The sequence below is a fragment of the Homo sapiens genome, chromosome 1 (assembly GCF_000001405.40).
Source record: "Homo sapiens chromosome 1, GRCh38.p14 Primary Assembly".
NCBI lineage: Eukaryota > Metazoa > Chordata > Mammalia > Primates > Hominidae > Homo > Homo sapiens.
This window is the reverse complement of record NC_000001.11, coordinates 22,821,459-22,835,670: the sequence shown is the minus strand read 5'-3', so window position 1 is coordinate 22,835,670 and position 14,212 is coordinate 22,821,459. Positions and strand designations below refer to the sequence as shown.

Below are 14,212 nucleotides of genomic sequence, written 5' to 3'. Positions count from 1 at the left end.
CTTACAATGGGCTAGGCATTGCACGGAGCACCATGGACTCGTTCACTCACAACCCCATGAGGTCCATGTTCTTATCCCATTTTCTAGATGATTTGCCTACATGTATGAAAGCATGCCCACATGCATGCATGTCTACTCGTGCATAAAATGTGCTTACATGTGCAACCCAGTCTTTATATATCCATATGCAAACATATGTGCATGTCTGTGTGTCTCTGTACACATATGTGTGTATGTGTGTACACATCTTCCTGTTATGTCCTCTTTCAAAATGGGTACTCTTTTTTCTTTGAGATGGGGTCTTGCTCTGTCACCCAGGCTGGAGGGTAGTGGTGTGATCATGGCTCACTGTAGCATTGATCTCCCAGGCTCAAGCGACCCTCTGGCCTTAGCCTCCTGAGTAGCTGGGACTACAGGCACATGCCACCATGCCCAGCTAATTTTTGTATGTTTTGTAGAGATGAGGTTTCGCCATGTCACCCAGGCTGGTCTCAGAACTCCTGGACTCAAGCAATCTGCCTGCCTTGGCCTCCCAAAGTGCTGGGACTACAGGTGTGAGCCACTGTGCCCGGCCAATAGGTACCCCTTTTTTGAACTCCTGTGCTGTATACAATGCTTTCCTTTTCTTATCATTCTCTATGTCATCGCCAATCCTGGCAAGGCAAATGGTATTAGGTTGACAAACTATGCCCCCACAGGCCAATTTGGGCTTGCCTTTTTTTTATTTTTTATTTTTTTATTTTTTTGAGACAGAGTCTTGCTCTGTCGCTCAGGCTGGAGTGCAGTGGTGTGATCTCGGCTCACTGCAACCTCTGCCTCGCTGGTTCAAGTGATTCTCCCACCTCAGCCTCCCAAGTAGCTGGGTTACAGGTGCATGCCACCACACCTGGCTACTTTTTGTATTTTTTGGTAGAGACAGGCTTTCACCATGTTGGCCAGGCTGGTCTCAAACTCTTGCCCTCAAGTGATCCGCCCACCTCAGCCTCCCAAAGTGCTGGAATTACAGGCATGAGCCACCGTGCCTGGCCTTGCCATTTTTTTTTTTGAAAATAAAGTTTTATTGGCACACAGCCAGGCTCATTTGTTTACATGTTGCCTATGGCTGATTTTATGTCACAATGGCAGAGTTGAGTGGTTGCAACAGAGATTGTAAAACCCACAAAGGCTAAAATTTTAACTTTCTGGCCCTTTACAGTCTGCTGTCCCCAAATTGACATGTTTTACATAAGGAAACTAAGATTCAGACAAGGTATTTTAATCGTCCGAAGTCATGGAATTGTTTAGTTAGCTAAACACCTTGGCCACCATACAAGACCCCCTCTCATATCTGGATGTCTTTGGGAGAGTTAACTGTTCCTACACACTTGTCACTCTGTCCTCAGGTACTTACACACCTGGGGAAGGTTTGTGGTCCTGTATGAGACATTCTGTGTGGTAAATCTGAGGGGGAAAAAGTGTAATTTTTCTTTGTTGAGAGCAGGGCTCTTATTAGTTAGCTCATTTGAGTCTAATAATTTGTGTCTACTTACTCCATTGATTTTTGAGAAAGCTATGCTAAAATATCCCACCAATTGGATCTGATTTGACATTTTCTTCTTACAAGTGTATCTTTTTTTTTTAAAGTGTTTTGAGACTAAGTTCAGGATTATTATATCTTGTCATTACAAGATATAATGACCTTCTTTGTCCCTAATAATGCTGTTTTGTCTTAAAGTCTTTTTATCCTCTGAAATGTATCTTGCTACCTATTTTATTCTAGAGAATATTTGCTGATACATAATTTTCTCTCCTTTTACCCTTTGTGCCTCATTATCTCTTAGGCTTGTCTGCAGTAAACAGATAGAGCTGTACTGTTTTTCCTCATCCAAACTATGAATTTCTGTTTTTTAACAGTTTTGAACCCATTTTCATTTATTGTGAACACTAACACGTATTTGACTTTATACTCTTGTATGTTTTATTTATAATCCATTTAAAACTTTTTTCTCCTTTCTTAATTCTGTGGAATTGATTGTATTTGCTGTATGCCTTTTTATTCCCTCTGCTGCTTCAGAAGTTATATATTCTGTCTTTCATGGGTACCCTGTCATTTTTAACACTCACATTGGCCTCAACCAAGCCAAAAGTTAATTGCTATCCCTATCTACCTCCCAAACAATTTTAGTATGTTGTAATTCCAATCCTATTCCTCCCAGCTTCTATTTTATGGCTGTATTTTTGTTCCACCTACTATTTCAAAAATCTCTTAAATGAGGCCGGGCATGGTGGCTCACGCCTGTAATCCCAGCACTTTGGGAGGCCGAGGAGGCTAGATCATGGGGTCAGGAGTTCGAGACCAGCCTGGCCAATATGGTGAAACCCTGTCTCTACCAAAAAATACAAAAATTAGCCAGGCATGGTGGCGTGCACCTGTAGTCCTAGCTACTCAGGAGGCTGAAGGCAGGAGAATCGCTGGAACCTGGGAGGCAGAGGTTGCAGCGAGCCGAGACTGCGCCACTGAACTCCAGCCTGGGCAAAAGAGCGAGACTCTGTCTCAAAAAAAGAAAAAGAAAAAGAAAAAAAAATCCCTTAAATGAAAAACCAAGTCACCCAAGGATTTTCCTTTCTCTCTTACCAGGTTGTATCAATATCATCTCTAGTATTTTTATGTGTTTATATGGGGGTGGGGGGATGGGGCATCCACATGAGCACAATTCATGTTCCAGAACATTCTCCCTGTCTGTATACATGTGTATTCACTAAGCCACATGTGCATGGCTGTGCATGCATGACTGTTACTTATACATGTGAGTCTGTGGACACCTATCTGTCCCTTTGTACAGGTGCTGTAGTCATTAACAAAATATTTATTGTACCCCCTCTTCTTCTATTATAAAGTATTGGCTGAACCCTCAAAGTCTTAGGTGGGAGCACCTAACGGTTGTGATGACTGCTGATAAACACTCTGATAAATGTCTCAAAGGTTGTGGGAAAGCAGAGAGTTGTACTAACCAGGCTCTTGTGTGGTCAGGGAGGGATTCCTGGAGGAAGAGGCATCTGACGTGAATCATGGCAGAGGAATAGCAACCACCCAGACTGAAGAAGAGTGGCGTAGCCTGGCTGGGATGGCCCACTCCATGACAATCACTAGGGGTGCATCCCAGGCCAAGGGTTAGAAGCTGTGTGATTCTGAACAAGTCCCTTAACCTCTCTGGTAAGAATCCTGGACACCTTGCAGAAGTATTGTGAGGCTCCAAGGAGAAAAAGGATGAATGTGGCTTGCAAGCTGAGAAGGGATACATGGGGTCAAGATTGTAAAATTATAGCATTGGCAACAGCCACCATTTCTTGAGGCCCGGTATTGTGAATCAGCCCAGCAACACTGAGAGGTGGCATTGGTTTGCCCTTACTATTGAGGAAGAACCCACAGCTCAGAGAAGTGACATGACTCACCCAGGGCCATGCAGGGCTGGGCAGGCACAGAGTGACTCAGGACCCATTGTTCTGATGACGTGCACCCTGTTCCTGCTATTCCTGCTGTTGCACCCCAGCCTGGAGTCTCTTGTCCCTACTTTCTGGCTCTCCATCGCTCTCCCTATTCCCCGCTCAAACAGCCAGGGGCCTCGAAGGTCCTCCTGGACTGCAAGAGAGGAAACTAGCACCACTGGCTGCTCCATTTGGGGCCTGGGGAAGCCCAATTCTTCCTCTCCCCAGTACCCCTCCCTCCAGGGGCTCCCTTTGCAGGTTTATGTGGGGCAGAGAATCAGGTTAATGGAATCCTGGCTGCCTCTGGCTAGGTAGGGGGGTGGATAGCTCCCTCTGGAACCCATGATGGTCAGCCCTCTGTTTCCAGCCCAGCCTAACACAGCCCCTCTTGAGCCCTTGAAGAGCCCAAGGGGAGGGTGTCAACATTTCACACCTTTCTGAGGAAGCCCAGGTCAGCATCTCCCACCTACTGCCACGGGGATTGGATTCCCACGATCATTTTGGCCCTCCCCTTATAATCATCTCCAACAACTCTTGCTATCTCTGCCAGCACAGTGTGGCATGGTGTTAAGGCTCTGAATTTGGAAAGCCCTGGATTCCTGCCCTGCTCTGCTTGACCTTAGGCAAACCACTCAGGCTCCTTGAGCCTCAGTTTCTTCATCCATAAAATGGAAATAATAGTAGACTGACTTGTAAGGGTTCCTGGGTTGAAATGAGAGGATTCACGCAAAAGGCTTCACAGGCTGCCTGGCACACAGTAGGCACTCAATATTTTTGGATAGATCAATGCTATTACACAATGCCTACAGCTGAGTTTTTGTGCAAAATGCTTTCACTTTCTGCTAAGGGGGGAGGTAGCAAGGGGCAGCCACTCCCCATCCCAGTTCTGGGTTTGTATCTGGTGCTCACTTACCTCCCAGGACCTGAACACCTTCTATGTGCAAGACACTCTGTAAGTTGCCCTATATAAATCACCTCACTCAATGCCCATCACCATCCCTGCAGCCGCCCTTCATCCCCAGTGGACCTGCTGTTCTTCAAAGTGTACAGGCTGCCAGTGTGGACCTGCAAAGATGCAGTCAGTACTGCTGGGTTGATCTGGGGAGCCCCTGGGTTTACTGCCTGCCTGGCATCCCAGGTTCAGACTTTCAGACTCTGGTAGTCAACGTGGAGCATTACCCCTCTTCCTTCATCTAGCTTCCTCTTCCTGACACCCACACACTTGGCCATTCTACATTTGAAATGTCTGCTGTCGTTCTTGGAGCCTCTGTTTTCCTACCTGTAAAATGGGGTGATTGGACTAAATGCTTCTTGTTGATCTAAGACCGTTGGCATAAAGAAATGAATATGAGGCAGGGTGCGGTGGCTCATGCCTGTAATTCTAGGACTTTGGGAGGCCAAGGCGGGTGGATCATGAGGTCAGGAGTTCGAGATCAGCCTGGCCAAGATGGTGAAACCCCATCTCTACTAAAAATACAAAATGAGCCAGGCGTGGTGGTGGGCGCCTGTAATCCCAGCTACTCGAGAGGCTGAGGCAGGAGAATCACTTGCACCCGGGAGGTGGAGGTTGCAGTGAGCTGAGATTGCACCACTGCAATCTAGTCTGGGCAAGACTCCGTCTCAAACAAACAAACAAAAGAAATGAATATGAATTTTGAACACATTAAGGGCCAGGTATCCCTTGCCTCCTGGTGGCCCTGTGAGGGAGGTTCTGCTGTTAGTTCCTACATTACAGATTGAGAAACCAAGGCCTGGGGAGATAATATCACTTGCCCAGTGTACTCAGCAATATGAGGCCAGTCAGGGATTCAAGCACAGGCCTGTCTGGCCCTTTCCCTGGTGCGCATGGCCTCCTCCTCTGAGCAGGCTTCTACAGAGACTGCAAAGAACTTGAAGGAATCACGTGGGTCCCCTTCAGTGTCTGCGAACCGCCCCTCTCCTCAGAGCATGGCGTCTGATGCCAGCCTCTGGGGACAAAGGCTGGGCAGCCAGCACCCCTCAGTGCAGCCCTGGAATTCCCGCCAAAGCCCTTTCTCTGTATTTTTGGAGCCCAGCCCAGGGTTGGCCCACCAGTCCTGGGAAGGAATTTGCAGTTTCTTGTTTCTAAAGGAAGGAAAAGCAAATTGTCAGCCCTAGTCCCCCCTTCCCACCAGTCAAACTTGAGCATGATCATGAACTCGCACAGCCATTTATTGTTTACAAATCCTGACCTCCTTAGCCTGGCACTCAAAAGCCTCTGCTCGGTGCCTCGACTTACCTCTCCTGCCCCATTGCCATCACTTGGAGCCTTCATTGCTGCCCAAACAAAAGCTCCTAATGATTCCTGAACACATCACATGCGGCTGTCTCCTGGGCCTTTTGTCCTGTCACTTCCTCTGCCTGGAATGCCCCTGCCATCCGTCATCCCTACGGAGCCAAATTCTGCCTAGTCTGAGACCCAGCCTCACCTCCAGGAAGCCCTCCGTGATGCCCTGGCCATCCCCACCATCCCCAACCCCCACAGCACTTCCTCTGTGTCCCCAAATGGCCCTACCATTCCATTCCTTAGAGCAGGGGGCTGTCTTGATTCACGTCCACCTCCCCAGTGACCTCAGAAGGTGATCTGAAAATGACAACTGACAGAATGGATGAATGATGGATGGGGGAAGGGTGTTTGATGAAAATCAATGTGGCTATTTGTGCACTAGACAGGCAGGTGAGGGTCAAGGCCAGTTGTAGGGAGGCCTCTGGGGACCACGCACCCATGGTCTTACACCCTGGCTTGGAATCTGGGTGGGGCCTGTAGAGCCGACCCCATCAGGCTGCAGGCATCCTGCCCATAAGCTGGAAGCTGATCTGGTGGGCCCCTAAGACACACATTAACAAAAGGAGAGACGCTGACCGGGAGCCTCTCCCGGCTGGGTGTGTGCTAGGGGTGGGGAGGGGCCAACTGCAGGCCCAGGCAACTGCTCCCACCTTCCCTGCCAAGGCTCCAGGGCCTGGGGGCTGCATGTGGCTCCTACCTCCCAGCCCCATAGTGGATCCGCCCACTTCACCAGCGCTCTGAGGAGTAACGAGTCAGTCAGTGTCACGTGCTTTGCACAGGATCTGGCACAAGACACGTAAAATGTTCTTGCAGCACTCACAATCTCTAATTCTTGATGTGACACTACGGCACCTGAATATTGAATATTCCACAGTTCTTGACTATGACATTCTATTACTATAGCATTCTATAATTCCTGCCTGTAAGTCTACAAGTGAATATTCTATGCGTGTGTGTTTACTGTAACAGTCTACAGTTCTGTGACTGCACCGTTCTAAAATTCCTGCTTGTGAGGCTACAATTTTAATAGTCTATGGTGGTACAATTCTGTAATTCTATGATTTTAACCCTTTTATGCCTACAACATTCTAAAGCTCCTGCCTCTTGGCCTCTCTGTGCCTAGTCGTCTTAGTGCTTCAATGATTAAATGATTGCAACATTCTATAATTCTATGATTACAACCTTTCTAGGCCTGTAACATTCTAAAATTCTTGCTTGACTGTGATTTTAACACTGTGCATTTCTGTGGCCGTGACAGGCGGTGACTGTGATGTCACGTGAGCCTGTCATCTTGGGTTGTCTGACCTCGTCACCTTCCCCTACTGCTAGCCCCTGGCTGCTTGACCGTTCTATCAGTGTTCACAGTTCTCTCCGAAAGGTCTCCAGCTTTCTTTTACAGTCTGGACCCTCTGGCCTCTTCCTGCCAGAACAAGGATTGGGTCAACTCAATGCTCATCCGTGCAGATGTAGAAGAGGCTCCAGGAGCTGCTAGGTGGGGTGGGCACGGCTGGGCTGGGGAGCTGGAGGGGCCCGGATGCCTCGACTGCTTCCCAAGCCACAGTGTTGGGTGAGTCATGGACCAGTGTAGGCCCTGCTGCTACTTCTGCCAGGGTCCATGGAGAGGCATATGCACCCACTCATGAACCCCACACTGCAGTCCCTGAGGAGCTCAGCCCCTGGTGGTGTCCCTGCTCTAGTCACTGACACAAGATCTAAAACAGCCATGAGCCTGGGCAGCTGGCTCAACCCAGAGAGAACTGAGTGGGGGTGGCTATAGCCCATCAGTGGCCCAGGGCTGGGGAAGCAGAACAGAGATCCCCCATGGCCACCTCTGCTTTGAAATGTTTGTCTTTGCTTGGGCATCAAAAGTGGCCTCTTTCTCCTTATTCTGAGTGTGTGGCTGTGTGGACACACACATGACTGTGAGTGCTCACGTTTATAGCCCTGGCTCTGTCTCTGTATCACTGTGCATGTCCCTCACGTGCAGGTCTCTAAATGCATGTGGATGGTGAAGGCCCCTGGAGCAAGGCCAAGGGTCTGTCACCTTTTGGCTTGTTATCTCTGCAGTCGCCTGAGTCCTGGCGGAGCCATTTCCAGGCGTGAGTGAGACAGGGAACAGGAGGGTTAGCAGGTAGCACTCAGAATTAGGCTTCTTTTAACTCTTCTGACTCTGTGTAAAGCACTCTGGGCTCTAGCACTTCACCACCATCATCACTGGCATGGTTTGATTGAGGACTTACTATGACCCAGGCGCTTTACATGAGTCTCCTAAATTAAGTCTTCACAGTGACCTCACGAGGTAAGTGCCATCATTACCCATTTTCTAGATGAGAAAATTGAGATTTCAGGAGATGCATCCCAAAGTCACTGGCTGGTTAGCAGTCAGGTTGCATGCAGGCTTGACGGACAGCAAAGCCACTACTATGTATAACACTACCATGCTAAAGGCCAGGCTGGCGGCCACTGGACCCTTGCGGAGAATACACTGGGGACGAGGGGCACCTCTCTTCCACCTGCTCCTGCGGGCCCCTGCTGTGAGCCAGGTTGGGAGCAGAGCACACACAGATGGGAGCAATCCAGTTCCTGCCATGAATATATTCAATGCAAGACAAAAGAGAGGACCTGGGCCTGGGGGCGGCACATGTTCCAGGGGCTCCGAGGACAGACTGACACATTCATCTGGGGAAGCCAGGGAGGGCTCTCTGCAGGTGGCCTGGTCTGAGCTGGATCTGAAGAAATGTGAGGAGTTTCCATGAGCAAGGGAGGGGAATCGAGAAAGGTGAGGGGTTCTTCTCCTTTCATAGAAATCTTGTGCTCTGGTAGGGAGGAAGCGGGGCAGGAGCTCTGGATTCCATACTCATTTACTAAGAATTTCAGGAAAAACTGGTTTAGCTCAGACTGGACTGAAAGCAAAGATCAACTGGAGGTCAAAGGCAGGGGGAGGGGACTGTGGGACATCCAGAAAGAACCTGGCTCAATTTATAAACCCTCTCTAGGTTTGGACCTGTGTCAGGCCACGGGGACACAGTGAGCCAGACTGGCTCCAGCATTGCTGGAAGAGCTTGCTGTCCTGGGGGAGGCAGGCGTGACAGCATTTCTCAGGGCCAGACAAGGAGGGAGCTGTGGGACATCCAGAAAGAACCTGCCTCAATTCATAAACCCTCCCTGGGTCCGGACCTGTGTCAGGCTGCGGAGACACAGTGAGCCAGACCAGCTCCAGCACGGCTGGAAGAGCTCACTGTCCTGGGGGAGGCAGGCGTGACAGCATTTCTCAGGGCTGGACAAGAACAGACTCTTTAGAAACGGAAATGGTCTTTTGTGGCCCTTGGAGACTACCTCTCCAGTCCTCCGATGCCAGGAGCAAGGATGCCTTCCCCCTTGAGAGATCACTGGGAGAGAAGTGTTGCTTTAGAACTGGTCAAAACCAAATTGTCTGTTAGAATCAGCATCCAAATCTAAACATCAAAAGTTTAAATTCTCCTAGAATTCCTGGGCCCCTGAGAATATATTTGGGACCCTCTCCCCATTCTGGGGTTTGCAGACCCCAGTTGCAGAAAGTGTGAGCTATATTCTGGGAACTGGTACTACAAGGAAATGCCAAACATACTCCTTAAGCCCAAGGCCGTGGGGAGAGGCAGGTGCGCCCACCTTTTTCTAAAGAGTGCACTATCTATGCTTCTGGAGGTCACACTGAACGCACTTAGTAGACTCACTGCCTGAAGGAAGGCAGCCTCCCTGCCTCCTGCTTCCTCACTCCAATTCACTCCCGCACTGCCAGTGGCCAATCAGCTGATCTAGCTACTCTCCTGCTCAGAATCTGGCCGTGGCTCCCCAGTGCCCTCAGGGTTACAGCTTAAATCCCTGAGCTGGCATCCAGCCTCAGCAGGGGCCTCCTCACTCCTCAGGCCTCAGCCTTCAACCCACCCTGCACTCTTAGCTCCCAGCCACTCTGGGACAAGGGATCTGACTCAGATCCTGGACTCTCCCCTCCCCACCTCAGACACCAGCCAGCATCCCCCCAGACGATCCTCATTTGTCTAACTCTCTTGGCAGATGCTTCTCTGGCTCCTGCCAGGGGCAGACATGTTGATTTGGTTTCCCACCTGCAGCAGGGTCCTGGTGACCAAGGCAGCCACTGCCTCCTCAGCTAGTTCCTGCTTTGCCTTGCAAAAGGCAGAGGCCACACCTGGCCCCCAGGGTGGCCCTAGCCCCTGGCTCCCACTTAGTTCTCCTGCTCCAGATGTCAGGTTTTCTGAGCCAGCTGTACATCTATTCTCTAACTCTGGCCAACGCATGAGGGGGTTCAGAGAGCATCTTGTTCTCCCTCTTCCTGCCCCTTCCAACTTATGGATGGGAGTGAGGTGTAAGCCCAGAGAGGGTGAGAGACTTGAAGGTAGCAGCAAAGCTAGGCCTGAGACCTGGGTATCCTGAGTCCTGGACCAGTGCTCCGCTCACCCCCTGATCTAGGCTCCTTCCCAGCCCTCTCCACTCTTGACCCAAGGGTGGCTGTCATAGTGTGTGTTCCAACTGGATCATCCGAGGAGTTAGGTGTGTATGCAGATCACCCCTGAAAAACTGCATCTTTGGTGAAAGCGGGATGCCAGCATCTAGGTTATCAGCCCCATCTCATTAGCCCCATCCATGGATTAGATCTTCCTTCCTTCTGACCATCTATCCAACTGTATAACTAACGAATGGGGCTGATAACCTAGAATGGCTCAGAGAGGTCAAGTGCTTTTCCTAAGGTCACACAGGAATCCAGGTTTACCTGAATCGGAGCTTATGTCCAGAAAGTATGGTCAGTTTACGGGGTCTTCTTGAGATCAAGGTGCAGTCACAGACTATGCTCCTGACCTATGAATGTTCTAGGAGCTCCTGATGACTTGAGAATACTTCCTTGAGAAGATGAGGAAAGTGTCCCATCCCCAAGTCCCCTTCCCGCAGGGCTGCAGAGGAGCCAGGCTCTGTTACCAGCTCTGCCCATCGCTGGGCTGTCTGGCAATGCCCCTGGGAACCTGGCACTGGCCAACCCACCCTGCCCTGGCCACAGGTGCCCTGGGACGGAATGCTCACGGGGCTGCCATCCCAGGCTGGAGCTGAAAATTAAATTAAAACCACGACAGGGACAGTTAATTAAAGCAGATTAGCGCGAGACTAATTAGGGACACTGACACTGGAACCATCGCACTCCAAGATGTTAATTAGCTGTTCATTAATGTCAGCTCCCTGTTCAAGGTAGAAATATGAACAGCCCTTCTCCGGGGCTTCATTCTGGAGCTGAGTAAACAGGGGCGGCTGCCCAATGGCAGGCCCAGCCTCCACCCGTCTTCCCTCCCTCCTTCTGGCCCTGGTATCTGCCTACTCCCTTTGTCTCCATCCTATACCAGTTTCTGAATATTGGCACCGCCAGAGAGACCCTGGACCCATGGAAAGGAAGAGCGCAGCTGGGGCCCAATACACAACAGCTCTGGAAGGTGGCTTACCTGCTCTGTAAGCCAGCCTTGTTCACAGGAAACTCTCTGTCTCTGCCTTCCTACTCACTGGCCTGAGTTGGATGGAGGCCTTTCTTCTTCTTTTCTTCTTTCTTTCCTTCTTTCTTTCTTTCCTTCCTTCCTTCTTCCCTCCCTCCCTTCCTTCCCCCATCCATCAGTTAGACCTTCCTTCCTTCCATCCATCTATCCAATCATATATCTACACATGCATTCACAAATCCATCTATGATCCATGTATTCATCATTTTCTCCCATCCACTGATGATTTTATAAAAAACCTACCTACCTATCCAGCCCCTCCCAAATACTTAAGTTTCCCTTTGCTGAGCCATTCATCTAGCCATTTATTTAGCATGAATATGTCCACTCACTCTCTCCACCCATCCATCAACCTATCTTCCTAGGCACTGTTTTACCTGTCCAGCCAGTGAACCTACCAACACATCCACTGGGTCTTCTCTCCACATAGTGGATAGCAGCCACTCACTCGCTCACTGTCATTCATTCATCTAAACACTGATTCTTCCACCTGCCTACCAATCGCTCATCTTTCCATTCCTCTCATACATATCTATGAACACCTACTATGTGCCAGGCACTATGCTAGGTGCTGGGGTAGAGAAGGAAAACAGAGATGAGGAAAAGCTTAGATAGTGGAATCCTCACTTTTGTTCCCATTTTATAGATGAGAAAATCAAGATTGAAAGAGGTGAAGTTACTTGCCTAAGGTCACCCCGCAAATTATTCATCCAATGTTCATTTAATTAATATTTATTATATCACCTACTTCTATTATTATATATCACTTGAGGAGACAGTGACAGACACAGTTCCTAACTGTATGAGCATCACAGTCTAGAGTGGTAATTCTCAAAACAATCTGATGAAAGTTATTACTGCTGCCCACTCAAATGCACATATATACACACAGGAAGCATTTTGTGAACAATTTCACAAAGGAGGTTCACAAACCTCCTTAAAGGCCATCCACACATTAGTTCAAGATACAGGGCACTGGCTGAAGAGACACACAAGTAAAGAGAAAGCCAAACCCAGTGTTCTATACATTATAATACAGACTTGAAGAGGAGTCAGCGAAGGCTTCCTGGAGGAGGTGATACCCAAGTTGAGTTATGAAGGATGGGCCAGGTTAGCTACATAGGCCAGCTAACCGCCATTTGCACGTTGTGTTTCGTGTGCAAAACTTAGAGGAGCGAGGCAGTTGAGGGTGCTTTTTGGGAGCCGTGGTGGGTCCATCTGGGATGACTGGAGCCTGATGTGTGCAGGGGATGTGGCAGAGCTAACTTGGACCCAGGTCTCCTGTCTGGCTCTTCCTAAGAAACAATGAGGACCTGCCTCTGGCCCCACTGTTGCCCTTGCTCTGGGAATGGATAGGGTATATGTAGGTCTCAGTGGCTCCTAGCTTAGGGCTCAGCCGAACCACAGCCAAACTGTCTCCTGGAGGCCTCAGGCCTGCTGTTCTCTGCCACGCAGAGGGAACTACATTCCAGGCATGAACCTTAGCCATGTGGCTCTGTGGGACGGGTCCTCTATCATCTCAGCCTCTGCCTGAGACTAGGGATTGGAAGGCAGGGAGTGGAGACCCCTGTGGGCACTGGGCCTGAAACTGGACGGCAGGCCATAGCAGCACATGGCTGGCTCTCTGAGAGTTGGTCCAGGCTCTGGCCCAGATGCCAGTGCATGTCCTGACCCAGGACTGGTCCCTTTGGCCAACAGGGCCTTCCTTTCACTTTTGCCTGCTCCAGCCTGCTCTGTGATGGTGGCTCCAGACCCGTATCCCATCAGGGCAAGGTCACAATGCTGGCCAACTTCACTGGAGGCAACCAGACATTCCCAAGGAAGAAGGAATTTAAGAGACAGAAAGACCTGGCTTCAAATCACACCTCTGCCAGTTAGGGGCTAGATGACTTCAGGTGAGTTACTTTATCATTCTGAGCCTCAACTGTGAAATATGCATTATATTAACATTGCCACTTTTGTTTTCTTTTCTCATCTTCATTTTAAATTTATTTTTAGCATTGTTTGGTAGGTCTTTTCCATCACTTTCCTTTTTTTTTTAAATTAAAAAATAGAGATGGGGTTTCGCCATGTTGCCCAGGCTGGTCTCAAACTCCTGGCCTCAAGTGATCCTCCTGCCTTGGCCTCCCAAAGTGTTGGGATTACAGGTATAAGCCACTGAGCCCGGCTCATCCCTTCACCTTTGACCCTTCTCCATTTTGCTTTAGATGTGTCCTTTCAAAAGATCACATAGCTGGACTTACTCTATTTTTTAACCCTATCTAAGAGCCATTGTCTAGCAATAAGGAGATACTTACTTACATTTATTGTAGCACTGTAATTGGTACATAGTAGATGTCTAATAAAGATTATTCTTTCCTCCCAGCATCATCCAAGGACCTTAGTTTTTTTTCTCCCTTATCCATTGCCCCTTCCACAAGTACCACCACCGGAGCCTCATATGCTGAGGAATATATGGATCTATTGGTACCAGTAACCACATTCACTAAGCAAAAACCACCCCTAGCTTCAGAGTATCTCGTAAACTGACTGTCCGAGCAGGAAAGACCTTTAAGATCCTCAGACCAGAATGCTAAAGGCCAAGGTCAGACATCTTTTGTATCCATGTTGGGAACAGAATCAGATCCTCTGTTACTCAATCCAAAGGTTAACAGAAGCCCCAAAGGGCAACTACCCTAAGGCCCAGACAAGGGAGAGAGGAAAATGGGAAAGTGAGAGGAACAATCCAAGAACCAGAAGAAATGTCCCAGAATGTAGGAGGGACAGAGGGCATTTCTTGTGCCAATAACTCAGGTTTTGTGATTACTGAGACAGGCTTCCGAACATGATTCTGCCCCCATTTTTTGTTCAATTCTGGGTGAGTGCCTTCCTCTCTTTGGGCTTCAGGTTCCTTTTCTGGGATACCAGAAAG

General features: G+C 49.1%; 1 protein-coding gene across 7 annotated transcripts in view, besides 4 other annotated features; it reads right to left on the bottom strand.

Moving 5' to 3' along the window:
* The window catches only part of EPHB2 (EPH receptor B2), a 210,663-nt gene that overhangs the window by 85,830 nt on the left and 110,621 nt on the right, over positions 1–14,212 (bottom strand).
* Positions 7,385–7,906: an enhancer, noted in NCBI's record as "H3K4me1 hESC enhancer chr1:23154258-23154779 (GRCh37/hg19 assembly coordinates)". NCBI's record gives its function as "activates a minimal SCP1, AML or CMV promoter by ChIP-STARR-seq in naive H9 embryonic stem cells {active_cell/tissue: H9 hESC(naive)}" and the evidence as "EXISTENCE:reporter gene assay evidence [ECO:0000049][PMID:30033119]".
* Positions 8,089–8,628: an enhancer, noted in NCBI's record as "H3K4me1 hESC enhancer chr1:23153536-23154075 (GRCh37/hg19 assembly coordinates)". NCBI's record gives its function as "activates a minimal SCP1, AML or CMV promoter by ChIP-STARR-seq in primed H9 embryonic stem cells {active_cell/tissue: H9 hESC(primed)}" and the evidence as "EXISTENCE:reporter gene assay evidence [ECO:0000049][PMID:30033119]".
* Positions 8,089–8,635: a biological region, named in NCBI's record as "Sharpr-MPRA regulatory region 697".
* Positions 8,341–8,635: a silencer, noted in NCBI's record as "tiled region #697; HepG2 Repressive non-DNase unmatched - State 23:Low, and K562 Repressive non-DNase unmatched - State 20:ReprD". NCBI's record gives its function as "represses a minimal TATA promoter and a strong SV40 promoter by Sharpr-MPRA in HepG2 and K562 cells {active_cell/tissue: HepG2 | K562}" and the evidence as "EXISTENCE:reporter gene assay evidence [ECO:0000049][PMID:27701403]".